Genomic DNA, 23,524 nt, shown 5'->3' with positions numbered 1-23,524 from the left:
GTATGATGCCACTTTGAAAGGACTAGCCTAGCTTACTGCCTCTCGACCTTTAACAGCCCCATGAGAGCTCATCCTGAGCCTACCAGCTTTGCAACTCCAGAGCGACAGATAGACATCAGGAGTCTCAGTGAGTGTTCAAACAGAGCTGCTGATAGGGTGCTGTTTTCAATAGCAGACTGAGGGTAGATGTTTATGAAACTGAAGGTGGCTTCCAGGAATGGATTAAGGAGTGTGAGAATATTAGGGTACTGAGGGCACCAGACTGCTTGCAGAGATGGAATAGCCAGATGTAGGGGCAAGTGGAAGAAAGAAATGGCATAATCCCTGCCCAAAATGTAACATCACTTGCCACCCTTCGGCCACTGGTGCTTGTGTAGAGATACCTTCTCTAGTAACTACAGTACATCATTTAGTGACTTGATCACATCTGTCAGTTCTTTGAAATAGTTTTACCTTCCATTCTGCCTCTTATTGATTCGCAAAAACCATTAGTGATCTCACATAAATATCTAAACACTTTTTCAGTGCACTAAGAAAGAGAAAGCATTAAGTTAGCTATTTTTTCCACAAATGTGTGAAGGTAAGAAGGGAACTAACCCTGTTTGCATCCCTGCTTTGTGCCATTCACTTTATGTGCATCTTATTTGCTCCCAACAGCTTACCTTTATAGTGGGTGTTATGATCTTTTTTTACAGATGAGTAAACAGAGGTTCATGTGGTTTGTAAGTGGGGGAGTTGAGATTCTAATCCAGATCTGATAGTTGCAAACCACACTACTTCGCCGACACTCGCCAGAGAACGGCAGCACCAGAGGCAGTTCCTGAAGGTTTGCCATGGTAGCAGCCTCTGGAAGAGGAACAGGGAATTTGTCTTCAAGCTGTATTGTATACTTACAAATATATTGTGTATGTGTTTAGGGTAATTTGGGGAAAACTAATAAAATTCATGAGGAGGCCAAAGTCCCTGCACATTTGCAAGTTATACCTTGGTGCTTTTCCAGAAGGACTATATGGGAGTGATTGTGGTAGAAATGAAATAAGCAGCTGATAAATGGGTCATTTTTAATTTTCATTTTTTATTTAAACTATCGATCTTTTTATTGCAATAAAATGTCACAAGTAAAAATAAAGAATTTATGACAGTTTTAACGTGGTGGAAGGTAGAGCAAACAAATGGAGAAAAAATCCAGGTGAAGGATTAATAATTAAATAATGAAACTCTTAAACTTGAAAATATCTGTGAACTTTAACAAAAATATGTATAATAGATATGGATGCAAATTCCCTTTGATGCTTACATCTGAGAACCCAGGGAAGTGAAAGGAACATATTAAGAAGGAGACTTCATAGCAACACTGGACTGAGAGTTAAGAGAATCAAGCCCACTTCACCCCTACCCAACCCAACCCTTCCATTAGTGGATCTGGCTCCTTCTTTCCTTCATTTATTCAGAAATGCTTATTGAGCCCCCTGTATGTCAGATACTTTTCTGAATACTAGGGATTTGGCTATGAAAAGGATAAGCAAAATTCCTTTTCATAGCCAAATGTAAGCTCTGTTGCATAGAGCTTACATTTCAGAAGAGAAAATAGATACTAGGTAGACAAATCGACATATAAAGTTTATGTTTTAGATAGTGATGTTAGGATAAAAATTCAGTAGGCTAAGTGGTGAGAGAGTACCTGATGGGGCCCAGTGGTATGTTTTATATAGCGTGGTCAGGAGAGGCCTCAGTGAGGAGCTCCTTGTGTTGTCTGTACCTTTTAGGACCTTAGTCTCTTCATACATAAAATGAGAGCATTGCTAGGTGATCACTAAATGGCTGCAAAATTCTGTTCTTCCTTTAAGGGACATATCTTCGGATCAGATAATCTTTTGTATGTATAAGTTACGGTCTTTACTGTCAACTGATCTCAAAATGTAATAAGAATGTTCATTGATTCCCAAGGTTAATTCCATTTTTACATTTGGGGAATTTAAACTGAGAATAAAATGCCTTCCCAAAGATTGCATAATAGTAAAAGAAGGATTAAAGCTCTCAATTCCTGCCACTCTTAGTCTGAAAACGTCACCCCACCATGTGCTATAATGAGAAGTTGAATTGAAATGTCAGGGCAGTTCAAAGTAGATTAAAGATGTGTAAGCTGTGATGGACTACATATTTACAAATAAGGAATTGGATAAGTATATCCCACTGCACTCATTTACGGCAGGCAAGTAAGCCATGTGATATGCTTTAAGCCAGTAAAATAGCAAATTCCCCCCAAAAGATCTATAATTTTAATCAAAAGTTTGTTTCAGTCATTGAAATTCTGTTATTGCTGCTTACCAACATTAAAGTCAATCAAAACATCAGTAGCTTTGCAAGATCAATATTTTTAATATGTTTGCATTGCAGTGCTGCAGATTTTTGGCTAGTGGATCGCACCTATATTGATTTCCATGGGAAATGTTAGTCTGATACTGAAATAATTAAAAAAAAAAACAGGGATTATTGGTTTGGAATTTTGAAGGAGATAGAACTATAAAAATTGGTTATTGACTAAATTGCTTGGGGTGAGTGAACCTTGGGCACTTGCAATAAACTTGTAGCACTCATTCATTACTGAATACTACCTTAGTCCCTTAAACTGAAAAATCAGTCAATAACCTATTATAACAATGCAAATTGTGGTGAAATAACATACTATGCATATAAGAATCACATTTTATCAAAACAGATATGCGTAAGTATATGTATGGGCGTATTGAAAGTGTCTGCTAAAACATAGTGACTGATTTTGACTTTGAGATTCATGCTGAAGCTCATTTGAATAGCATTTTAAAAGAGATAAACTGCTACAAAATAACAGTAAAAAGAAGCATACAATTATTCTATGAACAATAATGAAAGTGCAAACACTACAGCACGTCAAATGACAGATTCTGTTATTTTGATTCAGAGCAAAATTACAATTGTTATTCTGTTCTCAAAGCATAGGAATAATGTATGCAAGCATTAGATTAGATACAAACACATTCCCCACAATATGAATCTAGTGCATATTACATTGCTCTTGTTTTTCAGCATTTGGTTAGGAGAGCCGTATTTTCATCTAGAAAGTTTACTCTGCGTTTTCATTTGGTTACCATTGTAAATTTATGAATTTTTTATCTCTCAGAGGCAATCTAGTGTTTTACAGAGAGAGTGTTTTTAATGTCTCAATAAAAGTTCTATCCAGGATAATAGTAAGTACTTAGGAGTACCAGTTACATATTTTGTTATATATTTTTATTTACTGAATTTTAAAATCTGTATGTTATTTACATAATATGGAAACGTTTATCTGCTTTGAAGGAAACGGGAATAAGATAAAACTAAAAATTAGTAATCACAACTGTTGCATTTTGTTGCCATCTCTATAAGCCTGGTCAGTATTTTCCTTTCATAATAAGTAGTACTCTCTTTATAAATAGAAAATTGATTATGATTCCTTCTGCTGCAGGAGATAGTAACACTCAGATAATAGCATTGGCATTCTATTTCAATTTAGCATTAATCTTTGATCACCATTTTTTTTTCAAAATTCCTTTATCCTATTCTGACTACTTTTATCATTATAACTACCATTACCCTAAATTCAGTTGATAAAATCATTTTTCTTCCTTTTCGTTTAAAATGTATACCTGAATCTAACTTTTCTCTAATATTCTATGTCTCCCCATCAGTTAAGCTGTTAGGATATTCTGTTTTGATGGATTTGCCTTAGGGATGATTTATGAGACAGGAAGCTTCAATGTTATCTAACATTAGGTACATCATACCTGAAAATAACCAAGTTGTACAGTAAAGATATATGCATGTAAGTAGTGTAAAAATTCATACAATATTTGCTAAATCATTCAATGGCTTTCTGCTAAGAATATTATTAGAAAAGTATCCATGGTCTTAAAAATGATAGGATTCTAATTCCCAAGCCTGCTGTTTCCATATAATTGTATATAAATATACAATTATTCTTCCGTTTATGTCTTTCTAAGAATTTCACCTGGAATTTGTGTTACTTATTATTGTCAAAAAATGTTATTTCCTCACCAGATAGAATTTGTGCAATCCCAGTTAGAATCTCCAGGTGTCTAACTAGTCAAGGAGCAGGACAGAGCAAATACATAGTTCTGCAAGGCTCCGTAGCCCACTCCTACAGCCACATGGACCTCTGGGCCTCTGTTCTGATCTCATCTAGATTTTTCATCTAGTATACTAGTGCCGTTTCTACCTAGAATGGCTGTCATCTGACAACTTTTTAGTAGTTTAGAATTCACGTAACTTGAAACTTGGTACAGAACATCCCTGTTGTCTTTACTGGCAGTCGCAGCAGAAACCAGGCTGTTGTCTAACTGTGAAGGTAGTGTCTGAGCACAAGCCTGAAGCTCCAGGGGAGGACAGATTTTTACATTTATTTGTGGACTCTGGACATTTGGCAAAATCCATTGCACTCAATAGACAGCAGTCAAATTAACAGGGAGATTGTTCTCCACTTATCGAAACTGTCAAAAAACTGAGGGAAGGGGGGATTCCAAAGAGCTGCTCCTAGTGCATTCTTTTTATATTAATGGTTAGTGAATACCAGTGTCAGAAGTTCACATCACAGTACGAATAAGATGATTGGATTTTAATTTTTAGACAAAAATAGTCTTTCCACATTCTAGGTCATGCTGATAAAAACTTTTTTGCGAACCAAACTATTCAGATAGTCTGTACCAAGCCTTACCTATACGCAGCTAGAAAATACCTAGAGGGCTTTATTCATTAACAAATTATCACACATGCATGCTGCTCAGAGAGTATGTTTAAGATAGTGGTTAAAAGCACAGGCTCTGAAGCTATACTGCCTGAGTTTGTTTCCTTTCTGTGCCACTTTTCTATCTCTGTATCTATTGTCAAGTTGCCACTCTCTCTGTACTTCCATTCCTTCACCTGAGAACTGATAAGAGTAGGGCTTACTACATAGGATGTTGTGAGGATGTTGTACAGCATTTATTATTTGGTTCTATATTCAGTCTATTCTGATAACTGTGCTGTTGGGAGCAGAAATGAAAGACTTTAATTTCTAGGAGTTTTATCTCTGAAATTCTATCTCCTGTAACCTGGAAGAGCTTCTATTCTCTGCCCCCATGGCACCCTGCATGACCCCCACCATAGCATATGTTACTGTGCAGTATCTATTGCCTCTCCTACCTACAATAAACTGTAAGCTTCATGAGGACAAAATGTGTGTCTATCTTATAATCATTATTGCTTCAATGCCTAACATATAGTTTGTACTCAGTAAATATTTATTGGATGAATGTTAAATAAAATGTAATAAAAGAAATATCACAAATATTAGAGTGTTCATCTGTAAAATTTTGCTTCGATTAAATTACTTTCCTGGTATTAGCAGAGGCTGACATGCAATGAGTTATTTCCACTTCTTTGCATTGGCCTCTGCCTAGAATGAACTACCCTTAGATAACCACAGGCTCACCCCTCATTTTCTTTGGATCTTTGTTCAAATATCACCTTCTCGGTGTTTCCTATCCTGACTGCCTCATTTGAAACTGCATTTCTATCCCTTCTTCTGTTCTGTTTCATTTTTATATGGCATTTATGGCAGTCTAGCCCTGTATATATTTTAGTTATTTGTTATATTTATGATTTGTTGGCCTCAACTTCTCCTCACTAGAATGTAAGCTTTGTCAGTTTGGCTCACTTATACATCCCTAGCACCTGGAACAGTGCCTGGCACAAGGTAGACAGGCACTTTAACAAATATTTGTTGAATTAATTAATAAATGTAATGCATTGGGAATGCCAACTTGGAAATAACCAAAAGCAAAATTACTATTCAAGGAAAATCAACAGAGAATTAGAAACAAAAAACTTCAGGCTCCGTCTTGAGATCAATTATATACAGTTTTTTACTTGCTAAAGGTACATACTTCAACCTCCCTGAGCCCTTTAACCCAGCCTCCAAATTCTGAAAATCACTCTTACCAAAATATTCTTCCAACGGTTATTCTGGGGACTGTATTGCATTTTTTTAATAAAATAATATATGTCTGAGACTATATTTTTCAAGTTATGTAAGATTCTAGTGTTAGAGGCATTTTATAAAAGGGTTAAACCCTAAAGCAAACTGCTTCTTTAAATATGTTATGAACTTTCCATAGAGCACAAATACAAGATCTCTGCAAGGCTTTAATTAAGAATAATTAAAATATCTATATTAAAATATGTTTCATTCTACCAGCTTAGTAGAGGTTTTTATTTCAATAAAAAAGTTTATTTTTTACATGTTAACAGCATAAAACACAACATTGCGCTCGTAACAGCAGGGAAAATGTGATGTGCTGAAGCGGTAAGAAACAATGTGATTTATAAATTAATTCCCTGCATTATTTTTGTTAAAAATTTTTTTCATTAAGATTAAACTTTCACTTTGGTGGTTAGTTGTTTGAATTCATTATGCGGGCATCATACAAACAAATTAAACAAGAAAATTATATAAGAAGTAAAGAAGAATTGCATTGGGGCAAAATATTTTAAAAGTGTAAAGGCTTGGTGTCATATATGAGGTGAGATTTTTATTCAGTCTGCTGTTTGTAAGATTATTTAACTATTTAATTATGTCATAAAATGAGTTAATAAGAAAGAATGTTTAAACAAAAAATTTAAAGAAGGCAAGCAATTGTTACAGGGATGGGTCAAGAGAGCCAGATATTGTATGTAATTCCCAAGCATTCATAAAGGGGAGAGATATAGAAAGGGTCAAAACCCAAAGGGAAGAGAAAACTAGTAATTATTAGGTCTGATGAGATGAACCTATCTCATTAAAAAAAAGATTTGAGAAGAGAACAGATGGGAAGATAAGTAAACACTAAATAAACTTGCTAATAGGGAGATGGATTATCATTTTTCTCACTACGACGGGAAGATCTAACTAAACTTGTCCGCCAACCTTTTTTTTTTTTTTTTTTTTTGAGATGGAGTCTCGCTTTGTCACCCAGGCTGGAATGCAGTGGTGCAATCTCGACTCACTGCAACCCCTCCCTCCCAGATTCAAGCGATTCTCCTGCCTCAGCCTCCCGAGTAGCTGGGATCACAGGCACCCACCATCATGCTTGGCTAATTTTTGTATTTTTAGTAGTGATAGGGTTTCACCATGTTGGCCAGGCTGGTCTCAAACTCTCGACCTCAGGCAATCCACCCACCTCCGCCTCCCGAAGTGCTGGGATTACAGGCTTGAGCCACTGCATCCAGCCACTTGTCCTTTTTAAAAAAGACAGTAATGTGAAGAGAGGAGAGCCATGAATGTGGCAGGCATTGTGGTATTTTTGACTCATACCAAAAAAAACACTTCTATCTCTTACTACTGCATTCTCCACATTAGTCTCAAAGACAATGGTAAGATCTAAGTATTACCAAGAATGAGTGACACATTGAATCAATAACATCCCCATTCATGCTCTAATATAATACTTCCAGGAGAGAGGGATGAGGATTGCAAAGGAGCTATTGATCTAAGTAATAGAGAAATTTAGGAGAATATGGGATTCTATCTAATCATCAGATCCAATAAGACGTTCAGGGATTGAGAAGGAGAGATCCATTAAACTGAACCTTGAAAGATGGGTAGGATTTGAAGATTCATAGAAGGGAAGAAGACTATTTCAACTAGGGTTGTCAGCATGAACTAGGGCTTGAAAGTACAGGACATGTGACATAAACATTTGTAATAGCAAAAAAGGAGGTTGACAGATGCATCACTGATGTGAATGGAGAAGGAAGAAAATAAAAGTTATAAGTGTGAATGAGATGACAGGGAACAGGCTGTCATTGTGTTTGTGGGTTTTTTTATAGATACCTTAAATTCTGGGATACATGTGCAGAACGTGCAGGTTTGTTACATAGGTATACACGTGCCACGGTGGTTTGCTGCACCCATCAACCCGTCATCTACATTAAGTATTTCTCCTAATGCTTTCCCTCCCCTAGTCCCCCACCCCCCGACAGACCCCGGTGTGTGATGTTCCTCTCCCTGTGTCCATGTGTTCTCATTGCTCAACTCCCACTTATAAGTGAGAACATGCAGTGTTTGGTTTTCTGTTCTTGTGTTAGTTTCCTGAGAATTATGGTTTTCAGCATCATCCATGTCCCTGCAAAGGACATGAACTCATCCTTTTTTATGGATGCATAGTATTCCATAGTGTATATGTGCCACATTTTCTTTATCCACTCTGTCACTGATGGGCATTTGGGTTGGATCCAGGTCTTTGCTATTGTGAACAGTGCTGCAGTAAACATACATGTGCATATGTCTTTCTGGTAGAATGATTTATAATCCTTTGGGTATATACCCAGTAATGAGATTGCTGGGTCAAATGGTATTTCTGGTTCTAGATCCTTGAGGAATTGCCACACTGTCTTCCACAATGGGTGAACTAATTTACACTCCCACCAACAGTGTAAAAGTGTTCCTATTTCTCTACATCCTCTCCAGCATCTGTTGTTTCCTGACTTTTTAATGATCGCCATTCTAACTGGCATGAGATGGTATCTCATTGTAGTTTTGATTTGCATTTCTCTAATGACCAGTTATGATGAGCTTTTTTCCATATGTTTGTTGGCTGCATAAATATCTTCTTTTGAGAAGTGTCTGTTCATATCCTTCACCCACTTTTTGGTGGGATGGTTTTTTTCTTGTAAATTTGTTTAAGTTTTTATAGATTCTGGATATTAGCCCTTTCTCAGATGGATAGATTGCAAAAATTTTCTCCCATTCTGTAGGTTGCCTGTTCACTCTGATGATAGTTTCTATTGCTGTGCAGAAGCTCTTTAGTTTAATTAGATCCCATTTGTCAATTTTGACTTTTGTTGCCATTGCTTTCGGTGTTTTAGTCATGAAGTCTTTGTTCATGCCTGTGTCCTGAATGGTATTGCCTAGGTTTTCTTCTGGGATTTTTATGGATTTAGGTCTTATGTTTAAGTCTTTAATCCATCTTGAGTTAATTTTTGTGTAAGGTGTAAGGAAGGGGTCCAGTTTCAGTTTTCTGCATATGGCTAGCCAGTTTTCCCAATACCATTTATTAAATAGGGTATCCTTTCCCAGTTGCTTGTTTGTGTCATTTTTGTCAAAGATCAGATGGTTATAGATGTGTGGTGTTATTTCTGAGGCCTCTGTTCTGTTCCATTGGTCAATATATCTGTTTTGGTACCAGTACCGTGCTGTTTTGGTTACTGTAGCCTTATAGTATAGTTTGAAATCAGGTAGCGTGATGCCTCCAGCTTTTTTCTTTGTGCTTAGGATTGTCTTGGCTATGTGAGCTCTTTTTTGGTTCCATATGAAATTTAAAGTAGCTTTTTCTAATTATGTGAAGAAAGTCAGTGATAGCTTGATGGGGATAGCATTGAATCTATAAATTACTTTGGGCAGTATCACCATTTTCACCATATTGATTTTTCCTATCCATGAGCATGAAATGTTTTTCCATTTGTTTGTGTCCTCTCCTATTTCCTTGAGCAGTGGTTTGTAGTTCTCCTTGAAGAGGTCCTTCACATCTCTTGTCAGTTGTATTCCTAGGTATTTTATTCTCTTAGTTGCAATTGTGAATGGGAATTCACTCATGGTTTGGCTCTTTGTTTGTCTATTATTGGTGTATAGGAATGCTTGTGATTTTTGCACATTGATCTTGTATCCTGAGACTTTGCTGAAGTTGCTTATCAGCTTAAGGGGATTCGGGGCTGAAACGATGGGGTTTTCTAAATGTACAATCATGACATCTGCAAACAGAGACAATTTGACTTCCTCTCTTCCTATTTGAATACCTTTATTTCTTTCTCTTGCCTGATCTCCCTGGCCAGAACTTCCAATACTGTGTTGAATAGGAGTTGTGAGAGAGGGCATCCTTGTCTTGTGGCGGTTTTCAAAGGGAATGCTTCCAAGTTTTGCACATTCAGTATCGTATTGGCTGTTTGTCATAAATAGCTCTTATTATTTTGAGATACATTCCATCAGTGCCTAATTTTTTTAGAGTTTTTAGCATGAAGGGGTGTTGAATTTTGTCGAAGGCCTTTTCTGCATCTATTGAGATAATCATGTGGTTTTTTTTCATTGGTTCTGTTTATGTGATGTATTATGTTTATTGATTTGCGTCTATTGAACCAGCCTTACATCCCAGGGATGAAGCAGACTACATCGTGGTGGATAAGCTTTTTGATGTGCTGCTGGGTTTGGTTTGCCAGTATTTTATTGAAGATTTTCGCATCGATGTTCATGAGAGACATTGGCCTGAAGTTTTCTTTTCTGTGTTGTGTCTCAGGATGATGCTGGCCTCATAAAATGAGTTAGGGAGGATTCCCTCTTTTTCTACTGTTTCGAATAGTTTCAGAAGGAATGGTACCAGCTCCTCTTTGTACTTCTGCTAGAATTCAGCTGTGAATCCATCTGGTCCTGGACTTTTTTTTTTGGTTGGTAGGCTATTAATTACTGCCTCAATTTCAGAACTTGTTATTTATCTATTCAGGGATTTGACTTCTTCCTGGTTTAGACTTGGGAGGGTGTAAGTGTCCAGGAATCTATCCATTTCTTCTATATTTTCTAGGTTATTTGTGTAGAGGTGTTTATAGTATTCTCTGGTGGTAGTTTGTATTTCTGTGAAATCAGTGGTGATATCCCCTTTATCATTTTTTCTTGCATCTATTTGATTCTTTATACTTCTCTTCTTTGTTAATCTGGCTAGCAGTCTATTTATTTTGTTGATCTTTTCAAAAAACCAGCTCCTGGATTCATTGATTTTTTTGAAGGGTTTTTCATGTCTCTGTCTCCTTCAGTTCTGCTCTGATCTTAGTTATTTCTTGTCTTCTGGTAGCTTTTGAATTTGTTTGCTCTTGCTTCTCTAGTTCTTTTAATTGTGATGTTAGGGTGTCGAGTTTAAATCTTTCCTGCTTTCTCTTGTGGGCATTTAGTGCTATAAATTTCCCTCTAAACACTGCTTTCACTGTGTCCCAGAGATTCTGGTACATTGTGTCTTTGTTCTCATTGGTTTCAAAGAATGTATTTATTTCTGCCTTAATTTTGTTATTTACCCAATAGTCATTCAGGAGCAGGTTGTTCAGTTTCCATGTAGTTGTGCGGTTTTGAGTGAGTTTCTTAATCCTGAGTTCTAATTTGATTGCACTGTGGTCTGAGAGAGTGTTCGTTATGATTTCCATTCTTTTGCATTTGCCAAGGAGTGTTTTACTTCCAATTATATGGTCAGTTTTAGAATAAGTATGATGTGGTGCTGAGAAGAATGTATATTCTATTGATTTGGAGTGGAGAATTCTTTCTGTAGATGTCTATTAGGTCTGCTTAGTCCAGAGCTGAGTTCACGTCCTGAATATCCTTGTTAATTTTCTGTCTTGTTGATCTATCTAATATTGACAGTGAGGTGTTAAAGTCTCCCAGTATTATTGTGTGGGATTCTAAGTCTCTTTGTAGGGCTCTAAGAACTTGCTTTATGAATCTGGGTACTCCTATATTGAGTGCATATATATTTAGGATAGTTAGCTCTTCTTTTTGCATTGATCCCTTTACTATTATGTAATGCCCTTTTTTGTCTCTTTTGATCTTTGTTGGTTTAAAGTCTGTTTTATCAGAGACTAGGATTGCAACCCCTGCTTTTTTGTTTGCTTGTTTTGTTTTGTTTTTGTTTTTGTTTTCTTGGTAAATATCCCTCCATTGTTTTATTTTGAGCCTATGTGTGACTTTGCACGTGAGATGGGTCTCCCGAATACAGCCCACTAATGGGTCTTGACTCTTTATCCAATTTGCAAGTCTGTGTCTTTTAATTGTGGCTTTTAACCCATTTACATTTAAGGTTAACCTTGTTATGTGTGAATTTGAGCCTGTCATTATGATGGCTAGCTGGTTATTTTGCCCGTTAGTTAATGCAGTTTCTTTATAGTGTCGATGGTCTTTACAATTTGGTATGTTTTTGCAGTGGTAGGTACCAGTTTTTCCTTTCCATATTTAGTGCTTCCTTCAGGAGCTCTTGTAAGGTAGGCCTGGTGGTGACAAAATCTCTTAGCATTTGCTTATCTGTAAGGGATTTTATTTCTTCTTCGCTTATGAAGCTTAGTTTGGCTCGGTATGAAATTCTGGGTTGAAAATTCTTTCATTTAAGAGTGTTGAATATTGGCCCCCACAGTCTTCTGGCTTGTAGGGTTCTGCAGAGAGATTCACTGTTACTCTGATGGGCTTCCCTTTATGGGTAATCTGATCTTTCTCTCTGGCTACCTTAACATTTTTTCCTTTATTTCAATCTTGGTGAATCTGACAATTATGTGTCTTGGGGTTGCTCTTCTCGAGGAGTATCTTGGTGGTGTTCTCTGTATTTCCTGAATTTGAATGTTGGCCTGTCTTGCTAGTTGGGGAATTTCTCCTGGATAATATCCTGAAGAGTGTTTTCCAACTCGGTTCCATTCTCCCCGTCACTTTCAGGTACACCAGTCAAACGCAGGTTTGGTCTTTTCACATAGTCCCATATTTCTTGGAGGCTTTGTTTGTTCCTTTTCATTCTTTTTTCTCTAATCTTGTCTTCATGCTTTATTTCGTTAAGTTGATGTTCAATCCCTGATATCCTTCCTTCTGCTTGATCAATTTGGCTGTTAATACTTGTATATGCTTCACGAAGTTCTTGTGCTGTGCTTTTGAGCTCCATCAGGCCATTTATGTTCTTCTCTAAACTGTTTATTCTAGTTAGCAATTCCTCTAACCTTTTTTCAAGGTTCTTAGCTTCCTTGCATTGAGCTAGAACATGCTCCTATAGCTCAGAGGAGTTTGTTATTATCCATCTTCTGACTCCTACTTCTGTCAATTTGTCAAAGTCATTCTCCATCCTGTTTTGTTCCCTTGCTGGCCAGGAGTTGTGATCATTTGGAGGAGGAGAGGCATTCTGATTTTTGGAATTTTCAGCCTTTTTGCACTGGTTTTTCCTCATCTTTATGGATTTATGTACCTTTGGTCTTTGATGTTGGTGACCTTCAGAAGGGGTTTTTGTGTGGTCGTTCTTTTTTTGGATGTTATGCTATTCTTCTGTTTGTTCTAACAGGCCCCTCTGCTGCAGGTCTGCTGGAGTTTGCTGGAGGTCCACTCCAGACCCTGTTTGCCTGGGTATCACCAGCGGAGGCTGCAGAACAGCAAGGATTGCTGTCTGTTCCTTCCTCTGGAAGCTTCATCCCACCATATGCCAGCCGGAGCTCTCCTGTATGAGGTGTCTATCAACCCCTGCTGGGAGATGCTCCCAGTCAGGAGGCACAGGGTCAGGGACTCACTTGAGGAGGTAGTCTGTCCCTTAGCAGAGCTCAAGTGCTGTGCTGGGAGATCTGCTGCTCTCTTCAGAGCCAGCAGGCAGGAACATTTAATTCTGCTGAAGCTGCACCCACAGCCACCCCTTCCCCCAGGTGCTATGTCCCAGGGAGATGGGAGTTTGATCTATAAGCCCCTGACTGGGGCTGCTGCCTTTCTTTCAGAGATGCCCTGCCCAGAGAGGAGGAATTTAGAGAGGCAGTCTGGCTACCTCAGCTTTGCTAAGCTGTGGTGGTCTCCACCCAGTTTGAACTTCCCGGCATCTTTGTTAATCCTGTGAAGGGAGAACTGCCTACTCAAGCCTCAGTAATGGCGGACACCCTTCCCCCCACCAAGCTGGAGCATCCCAGGTCAACTTCATACTGCTCTGCTAGCAGTGAGAATTTCAAGCCAATGGATCTTAGCTTGCTGGGCTCCATGGGGGTGGGATCCACTGAGCTAGACCACTTGGCTCCCTGGCTTCAGCCCCTTTTCCAGGGGATTGAACGGTTTTGTCTCACTGGCATTCCAGGTGCCACTGGGGTATGAAAAGAAACTCCTGCAGCTAGCTCGTTGTCTGCCCAAACAGCCGCCCAGTTTTGTGCTTGGAACTTAGGCCCTGGTGGCATAGGCACTCTAGGGAATCTCCTGGTCTGCAGGTTGTGAAGACCATGGGAAAAGTGTAGTATCTGGGCCGGAATGCACCATTCCTCACAACACAGTCCCTCATGGCTTCCCTTGGCTAGGGGAGGGAGTTCTTCAACCCCTTGGGCTTCCCAGATGAGATGCCCCACCTGACTTCGGCTCACCCTCCATAGGCTGCACCCACTGTCTAACCAGTTCCAGTGAGATAAGCTGGGTACCAAAGTTGGAAATGCAGAAATCGCCCACCTTCTGCATTGATCTCACTGGGAGAATCACTTGAACCCAGGAGGCAGAAGTTGTGGTGAGCTGAGATTGCACCATTACACTCCAGCCCGGACAACAAGAGCGAAACTCCGTCTCAAAAAAAAAAAAGAGAGAAAACAAGTTTTCTAGGGTGAAACTTTTAATTTTGTTTCTAGACAAATAATTTTGAATATCTGCCACATATCCACATTTCTGACCCATTTCTGCTGGATTTGAAGGTAAAAGAAAAGAGCAAAAGGTGAGTCTAAGGACTGGCTTGACTCCAGATAAATATCTTCCTCAGTTATGCGGTCAGATCTGTAGGAGAATGCTGCGTCTTAGCAGTATGGGAAACTAACTTGGCCTAGTCTGGTGATGGCAGTAAAACTTTTAACAATTCATCAGCCCTTTTAATGCCAGTTTTTTATATAATACCCTTCACTTATATTCAGCCACTCAGCACTTGCCATGTGCCAGGTTCTATACTAGGTGCTAAGGACACAACCTTCACAACAAGTACAGCCCCTGCTCTTGAAAAGTAAAGGCCCAAAAAATGTAAGTTAGCCATTCCAGGTCAGTGAGAGTAAAATTATGTGTAGGGGATGAGGGTGGTGGCACAGAAATTGTTTTGAGTTCCAAGCAAAGGCAAGAGAATATGTGGTACATTTGACAACCGAAAAAAAGTCCGGTATTGCTGGAGAATAGAGTATGAGGGTAGGACAATAAAAAGAAATAACCCTAGAGAAATAAGCAGGAGCCAGGTCATGGAGAGCTTTCTCAGCCTTGTAAAAACTTGGAAAAGGGATTCTAAGAAAGGGAATATAATATGATTAGATTTGAATTTTTCAGTGAACAGTCTAGCTGTGATAAGGGTAATGGATTAAGAGAGTTACAGGACTAAAAGCAAGGCTGGTTAAATCATGATGACCTGGATGAGGCAGTGGAGATGGAAAAAATCATTTGATGTGAGAGCTATTTAGGAAACTCAGTGGGTCCTGAATATTGATCAGCTTTCATGGGTAATAGGGCAGAAGCATCAGTTTGGTGTCCAGGCTTTTGGTTTGGGCAATTGTGTGGATGCCTCTCATTAACAGAGAAAATATTTTTAGGAGAATGATGAGTTCAGTTTTGGCATGCTGAGTTTGAGGTGCCTGCAAAACCTCCAAGTAGAAATGGACACTAAACTATTAAATATATTGGCTGAGGCTCGGGAGAGAGATTATTATATAAATAAACACAATTTTTTAAAAAGAAAAGGAAATGACTATGAAGGAGAAAGGAAAACTTTTGAAACAACTGGAAGAAAAGGAGGAATCAACAGAGGTTTTAGTTTATTTGTTTAAGATGAAAGAGACCTGAATGATTATAAATTGTATAAATAGCTAGTCCGAATGTGAAGATGCAGATAATTAGGCTATAGAATGGAAATGCGTTTGAAGATAAGGCAGGATTTGATTGAGAGCTTAATTTGGGAGAAAATTTGCCTTTAGAAAGAAGGAGCACGAGCCTAATGCTGACAGGTCTTCAGATTTGGTAGTGAAAAGTTAAAGAATGGCCAGGCGCGGTGGCTTACGCCTGTAATCCCAGCACTTTAGGAGGCCGAGGCAGGTGGATCACCTAAGGTCAGAGGTTTGAGACCAGCCTGGCCAACATGGTGAAACCCTGTCTCTACTAAAAATACAAAAATTAGCCAGGTATGGTGGCGCACGCCTGTATTCCCAGCTACTTGGGAGGCTGAGGCAGGAGAATCACTTGAACCCAGGAGATGGAGGTTTCAGTGAGCCAAGATCATGCCACTGCACTCCAGCCTGGGTGACAGAGCAAGACTCTATCTCAAAGAAAAAAAAAAAAGAATAGAAAAGAAAAGTTAAAGAATTCCATTCTGATAAATTTTGGTTTTGCCTGGAAGTAGGAGACCAGGTGAAGAAAGAAAAGGGAAGATTGCAATCTGAGGTTTAAAAAGTGAAGAATGTAAGTTAGGCTTCGTTTTACAAATAAAAATATCTACATTTTTTATTTTAAAATGGCCATTCTAAAAAAAATTCAAGTGATGAAATTAAATTCCCTAAGCATACCACCCCTGAGAAATAATCTGTTTCTATTAATAGCAGTGTGCACAGACTTCCAAATAAACAGACTCATATGCACATTGTCCTATAACTTGATTTTCCTTTTATTGCTTTTTTCCAATTATAAAAATAATACGTTCTATTTACCAAAAAAATGTACATATTGCCTATTTTAGTTTGGATATTTTTCATGTAGTAGTATGTAGATACAACTTTCTTCTTTTTAGCAACCATATTGCATTTAATTAATTGACTATGCCACCATTGGACAGTATCTATTGAAAGTTACTCATTTTTCTTCCTTTTTTGGCTAATATTAACAGTTTTGAAGTAAGTATCTTTGTACATTTTTGCTAGTGTTTCTGTAAAATAAATTTCAAAAAGTGAAATTTCTAGGTCAAAAGGTAAACATGTATTTAGTTTGGAAAATTATAGCCAAATTGTTCTGCAAAATAGTTATACAAGTTTACATTTATGTCTTAAGTGTTATTTTAATCTTTGTTATTCTGCAAAAAATCAATTAAATTTGTATTTATTTGGTAAGCAGTGAGGTTGAGCATATTTTTATTAATTATTGACCATTTATATTTATCTCATACATTACCAGGTCTTTCTTGTCAATTGAGTCTTTGTCAATTCTTTATTGATTAGTAGGAGTTCTTTATATATGATGGATAATAGTCCTTATTGTATGTGGTACATTTTTGCCTAGTTGCCTTTTTATCTTTTTGCTTTGCTTATGGAGTTTGTTAAGGTTTTTTTCTAAGCCAACGTTTTTCGTTTTTATGTAGCCAAAAATGCAGTTTTTTTTTAGTTTCCACTCTTATTGTCATGCCATAAGTCCCTCCCCACAATTATGCATATGTTCTCTTTTATTTTCTTTTAGTGCCTTTATGATTTTTTTTTAACTTTTAAATGATAACATTTGGAGAGTTGTCTAGAATTACGTAGTACAATGGCTGAACAATGTTGAGGGCTGAGTTGTGGTTGATGATGATTTGTTTGTAGGAGCAACAATCTGTTAGCCAGGGACAAGCCAGTCAGCTGGGTTTATCCAACCTTGGAGTGTTTCAGGCAAGTACCTTAAATGGACAGTGGGGCCTAGCAGATTAGGAAAACACAATGAAATGTTGGACCATGATCTTCCAGCAAAGGTTGAGAAGTGAAAACAAAACAAGGGCTAATAGGAAGAAAGGAAAGGATAAATGGACTGGAAGCCGTAAAGATTTTTTTTAAGGTAAGAAAGGGAATTATTTTAGTAAGATGGTTAAAAAGATAGGAGGTTGTGGTCAAATTGGGGGAATGTCTAAATTTATTGTTTCAAAAGAATGCTGCAATGTCCAGAGTAAAATGTCAAGAACAGGCAGGTGAAATAGACTGGAAGAAAGGGGCATTGTAGATCAAGGAATCTAGCAGTCAGACCCTTGGATAGGTTATTCATGGGAATGTTGAAGACTCCCAGGATTACAGTTGGACTTGAGTAGAAAGAAGCATCTTTTGAATATCTGAGACTTCTTTCACCAACACCTTTGTCAACCTTTATTTATTTTTGAGAGACTCATCCCCAGTTACTAAAGAATAAAAAGTCAGTTTATCAAAAAATGTGAATGAAGTCAGAATCAGAATAATACCACCCTCCCCACCTCCACTTGCTTCTGGAAAAATATTTGTGTTTGGGTTCTTTTTTAATATGTGATAGCAGCTAATAATATATGTAAAGCACTTAGCTGATGCCTAACACATAGTCAGTACATTTTTGCCTTTATTATATTAGAGGGAGATGATTTATATATGCTTTAAAATTGGTATTTGTTTAGTATTTCTTTCAAGTTAAGATTTGGAATTTTGGCAGCCTTGGTCCAGAATAAATGACCAGGCAGCTTCAACATGAACTTGTTTCTAGAACCCCAGAAGGGTTGGGAATACATATAAGAAGCCCATACTCAAGGCCTGGGAAAGTAGAAAGAGGCAAGGAAGGAGAGAAGAAAATAGAAAGAAGTTGGATTAGATAGATGAGCAAATACTGGTTAGTTCTGTTTCCTCTCACCTTGACACATGTGTCCATTCAGTCACCAAGACATGAGAAGCAGTAAATCCTGGGTGAGGCTTAAGCACCCTCTGGTTATTTTGTAGTGAACAAACTAACAGCTAAGATTTTTTAGAACCACTCACTTAGAGAATCAGCTTTTAGAACTTGCAGTTCTTTTTTTCAGTACATTGGTGGGAAATGTCATGGGGAAGAGGAAGGGCTTGTGAATATTTTATAAGATTTTTAACTTTTTTTCAGTCTGGAAAATACAGTGGAAATGGAAAATAATTGTACAAAGAATGTAAACAAGTAAATGGAGGAATTTAAGATTATTATCAGAGTCTTTTATCCTTCCTTTCTTCACCCACTCAAATTAATTATTCATTACTTATGTTGTCTTTAAAAAGAGAAAACCTAAATTCTTTGCTGCTAAAGTTTACATTGATTTTATAAATTTAAAAAAACTAATATAAGCCTTAAATATAACCAGGCTATTTTATAATCTGATAGCATCTTTGCAGAGTGAAGCTCAAAATAAATTAGAAAACATATCAGTACTCTTTAATATAGGACATTTCTGATGAGAAATATTACAAACATGAGATCTAAAAGGATGTAAGTCATTGATGAATTAAATACCTCAGAGCCATATGACCTGAGACTTATTTCTGTTGTCTGCTCACAATGAGGCACTTTACAGAAATATAACTCTTTAGTTGCTACTTGCACAATTTCAACTGAAGTTTTAAATTAGAAGGTGTAAAAGCAATGATCCTCACTATAACACTTCAACGTACAGCAATATTGTAACAAATATAAATGCTACAAACTGGTTTGTTAAGATAAAGTAGTTAAATATCATGAGAGTGGCACTGTTTACCCCCTCTTTAGTCTGTGGTCATTTGTTTTAATTTTTACCTATGTGACTTGGTTGCTAACTAGGATGTTTTTTAGTACAAATGATGCAAACATCTGTGTTACATATACCAGAAATTCAAAAAGGAAATAAAAAGAACTCTATTCTCCAAGGGACTGTGTGACTGGATCTCTTAAAAACAGATTCAAATAAATAAAACTCAATCACACTAACTTTAAGTTGTGCTTTAAAATTTTTTACTATTTGTCTGAATCCTGACAAAATGTATACTGAGGGTAGCAAAACATATTTGTGTATACAGGTAAGCTACACTTCATTGATTCATTTCTCTATTTAACAAATTTTTATTGAGCATATGTTATGTGCTTAAAACAGGAGATAAGTAGTAAACAAGAAAAATGAAGAAGATAGTGATGATGTTGATAATGATAATAACAGCTAGCCTGTATTGAGTGCTACCCATGTGTCAGGTATTTATGTCGATTAATCCTCACGTAACAATATGAGTCAGATTCTAATATCATTCCACTTTGCAAGTGAGGGAATAGATTTAGAGAGCTCTCACAGCTAGGAAATAATGCAGCCTGACTCAAACACTGCAATTCTGACTCCCAGGGCCAGATTCCTAACTAACAACATGCAAATACATTCATTTTCCTCATGGAGCATATGTTCCAGCTACCCATTTATTTAACAAATATGTATCAAGTGTCTGCTATGTGCCAGGCACAGTCCTAGGCCCTGAGTTACAGAGAAAAAGAGTTTGACACGGTCATTGCTATCATGGCTTACACCTTCCAGAGCCTCTAATAGAGGTTTTGTAAAAAGGGAGAAAGTATGCACGTATTAATGCAAGTACTAGACATAATTAAAGTAATTAATAACATTGACAAGAATTACTAAACTATTGAAATATAATACAGTTTCTTTAAAAATACATACTGTATATTCAGAAAGGGTAATGTTATTTTTACATCTTAAAAAGAATTCATTTTCATCTCTGGTTCAAAATATATATCTTTAAAAAAAAAACTTTTTGCCTGGTGTGATTCCGTCCTGCGCGGCTGTTCTCTGCAGCAGCGTTGTTTTATCTCCGTCCGCCTTCTCTCCTACCTAAGTGCGTGCCGCCACCCGATGGAAGATTCGATGGACATGGACATGAGCCCCCTGAGGCCCCAGAACTATCTTTTCGGTTGTGAACTAAAGGCCGACAAAGATGATCACTTTAAGGTGGATAATGATGAAAATGAGCGCCAGTTATCCTTAAGAACGGCCAGTTTAGGGCTGGTGCAAAGGATGAACTGCACATTGTTGAAGCAGAGGCCATGAATTACGAAGGCAGTCCAATTAAAGTAACACTGGCAACTTTGAAAATGTCTGTACAGCCAACAGTTTCCCTTGGGGGCTTTGAAATAACACCACCAGTGGTCTTAAGGTTGAAGTGTGGTTCAGGGCCAGTGCATATTAGTGGACAGCACTTAGTAGCTGTGGAGGAAGATGCAGAGTCAGAAGATGAAGAGGAGGAGGATGTGAAACTCTGAAGTATATCTGGAAAGCGGTCTGCCCCTGGAGGTGGTAGCAAGGTTCCACAGAAAAAAGTAAAACTTGCTGCTGATGAAGATGATGACGATGATGATGAAGAGGATGATGATGAAGATGATGATGATGATGATTTTGATGATGAGGAAGCTGAAGAAAAAGCGCCAGTGAAGAAATCTATACGAGATACTCCAGCCAAAAATGCACAAAAGTCAAATCAGAATGGAAAAGACTCAAAACCATCAACACCAAGATCAAAAGGACAAGAATCCTTCAAAAAACAGGAAAAAACTCCTAAAACACCAAAAGGACCTAGTTCTGTAGAAGACATTAAAGCAAAAATGCAAGCAAGTATAGAAAAAGGTGGTTCTCTTCCCAAAGTGGAAGCCAAATTCATCAATTATGTGAAGAATTGCTTCCGGATGACTAACCAAGAGGCTATTCAAGATCTCTGGCAGTGGAGGAAGTCTCTTTAAGAAAATAGTTTAAACAATTTGTTAAAAATTTTCCGTCTTATTTCATTTCTGTTAACAGTTGATATCTGGCTGTCCTTTTTATAATGCAGAGTGAGAACTTTCTCTACCGTGTTTGATAAATGTTGTCCAGGTTCTATTGCCAAGAATGTGTTGTCCAAAATGCCTGTTTAGTTTTTAAAGATCAACTCCACCCTTTGCTTGGTTTTAAGTATGTATGGAATGTTATGATAGGACATAGTACTAGCGGTGGTCAGACATGGAAATGGTGGGGAGACAAAAATATACATGTGAAATAAAACTCAGTATTTTAATAAAGTAAAAAAAAAAAAAAAACTTTTTGCCTAATCAAAATTTATTCAAGAGCTGTTCCTTTCTTTCAGTTACTAGAAAAAGAGAAATTCAGGGAAATTTTATATCTAAAAACTGGGACTTTTTACAAGGTGGGAAGTCACCAAGACCTTGTGTTATCTGAAGTTAAATTTTATCCAAATTTCAGGACTAATATTGCAATGACAAATATTAGTAAGCCACACACATTTTTTCCAGTGGGCAAGATCAAATGGCTTGTGAGAAATGTTTTTTTTTTTTTTTTTTAAGTTAGACTGTATCCTAAAATTAAGGGACAAACTATTTAGTACTTTGATGTTTTGCCAAATTTATTAATTATAACAGGTAATATTTTAGAGTATTTGTTACTGAATCATCCTCCTAATTTAAACCTTCTGCATTGGGATAAAAATCTCATTTTGAATTAAAGCTATTTCTTTATGTGAAATAAGCTGAAGCCACTTAAGAGAATTTAAATGAAGAAAACATTAAATAATGGAATTTCAATATTTACCAAATATTTCACTTATATTCTACATTTAGGATATGTCAGAAATCAAAATTGAAAGCTCTTGCCTGAGCAGTTACCATTTGACATTTGGAAAAATTAGTTAATATTTTTGTAAACCACTCTGTATTTGGTTTGTAAATGACCATTTGGACTCCTGGTTTAGATTCCTCTCTTTTCTTCTTATTTTTACTTTGTCATCAGTAGTCTTGTCATTGTCATCATTTAAAATGACACTATTAAGTACAAAAGAATATTCTAAATTCTGGAATGCGAGGCTTGTGCCTGGCCTCGGTGAACTTATGCAATGTAGCCACAAGGGGCAGAAAATATATACTTAAAAGAAAAATAGCAATAAAAAAGATAACAATTTTACAAAATGTGGTTCAGGTAGCTTAGAGTTTGCATACTGTGCTAATTTGTTGAGAAGATAGAGCCCAAACTGGGTTTTATCAGAGAAGTAACTGGTAATTTTGTGGAGAGGGGAAGGCATTCTAGGCACAGAAAAGTAGTGGGTGGGAACTAAGGCAGACGACAGTAAACTCAGCAGCATTGTGACTGGAGTTTAAGGAAACTGTGAGAGAAAAAGTTACAGAGAAATTTACAAGCAGTATCTCTAGAGAGTCTAAAGAGTTTTAAGTTTAATTTATAGGCCACATAGAGTCACTGGAGGTTTTGGAACAGGGAAATTTGATGAAAGCAACTCTTTAGGGGGATTATCTTGCCAGTGCATGTGTAGGACGCGTTGTTTCAGAAGACCAGTTAGAATATTACAACAGTCTGGAGCTCGTGTTTCCCAAACTATACAACTGGGAATAGTAATTCTGAGAGCTCAAAATAGTAATAAAAGCACCTATTTGGGGGATTTTTTTTTCTTGACTGGAAAAAAAAGGAAACATTACATATAAAATCTTCTTCTTGGAGATACACTACACATTAACACATTAAAGGCCTGTGCCAGAGAAATCCATAATTTCACAAACTTATTTGCAGATAAAAGGCTTTGTTCATTGTGTACCTATTCATAAACATATCACTGTGTTCCACTGAAATTACTGGAAATTTTGGTCTTATCAATTACCTACTTATTTATAAATCTATCTAAGAAACAATAGAAGAAAGGGAAAGATAAAACTCAAAACTTCATTAGAAAGGTACTGAGACATCATTTAGTCCAGACCCTGTCTTTAATCTTGGTAATCAGAAACCGAATGTTACCTTTGACTTTGACACCTTTCTGGTCAAATTAAGTAGTGCCTTTAATGATACTTGTTTGCCAATCCTCTTTCCCTCATGAGACCATAAAATACCCAATAATCAGATTAACCTTTGTCTTACCATCATTGTAATCTCTAAATCTGGCTGATAGTAGGTGGTAGAAAAATACTTGTTGACTTGAAAGTGATGAGAAAACTAAACAGTTTGTGGCATACCTGTAATTACATGGATGATAGCAGGATACA

General features: G+C 37.2%; 1 protein-coding gene and 1 pseudogene across 21 annotated transcripts in view; both read left to right on the top strand.

Moving 5' to 3' along the window:
• Nucleotides 1-23,524, top strand: part of ARB2A (ARB2 cotranscriptional regulator A) — a 493,975-nt gene that overhangs the window by 407,637 nt on the left and 62,814 nt on the right. For 2 of the 21 annotated variants that reach the window (XM_011543671.4, XM_047417811.1), the window contains exon 11: nucleotides 696-20,952. The exons of the other annotated variants lie outside the window; for them this stretch is intronic. In XM_011543671.4, the coding sequence (XP_011541973.1) occupies nucleotides 696-703 (8 nt within the window). In that variant the 3' untranslated portion in view covers nucleotides 704-20,952. Of the gene's footprint in view, nucleotides 1-695; nucleotides 20,953-23,524 lie in introns of those variants that run through there. 21 annotated transcript variants of the gene reach the window in all.
• Nucleotides 20,330-21,544, top strand: NPM1P27 (nucleophosmin 1 pseudogene 27; annotated as a pseudogene).

Source organism: Homo sapiens, chromosome 5 (assembly GCF_000001405.40).
Source record: "Homo sapiens chromosome 5, GRCh38.p14 Primary Assembly".
Classification (NCBI taxonomy): Eukaryota; Metazoa; Chordata; class Mammalia; order Primates; family Hominidae; genus Homo; species Homo sapiens.
Note: the sequence above shows the minus strand (reverse complement) of the source record. Positions and strands in the feature narration are given on the sequence as shown.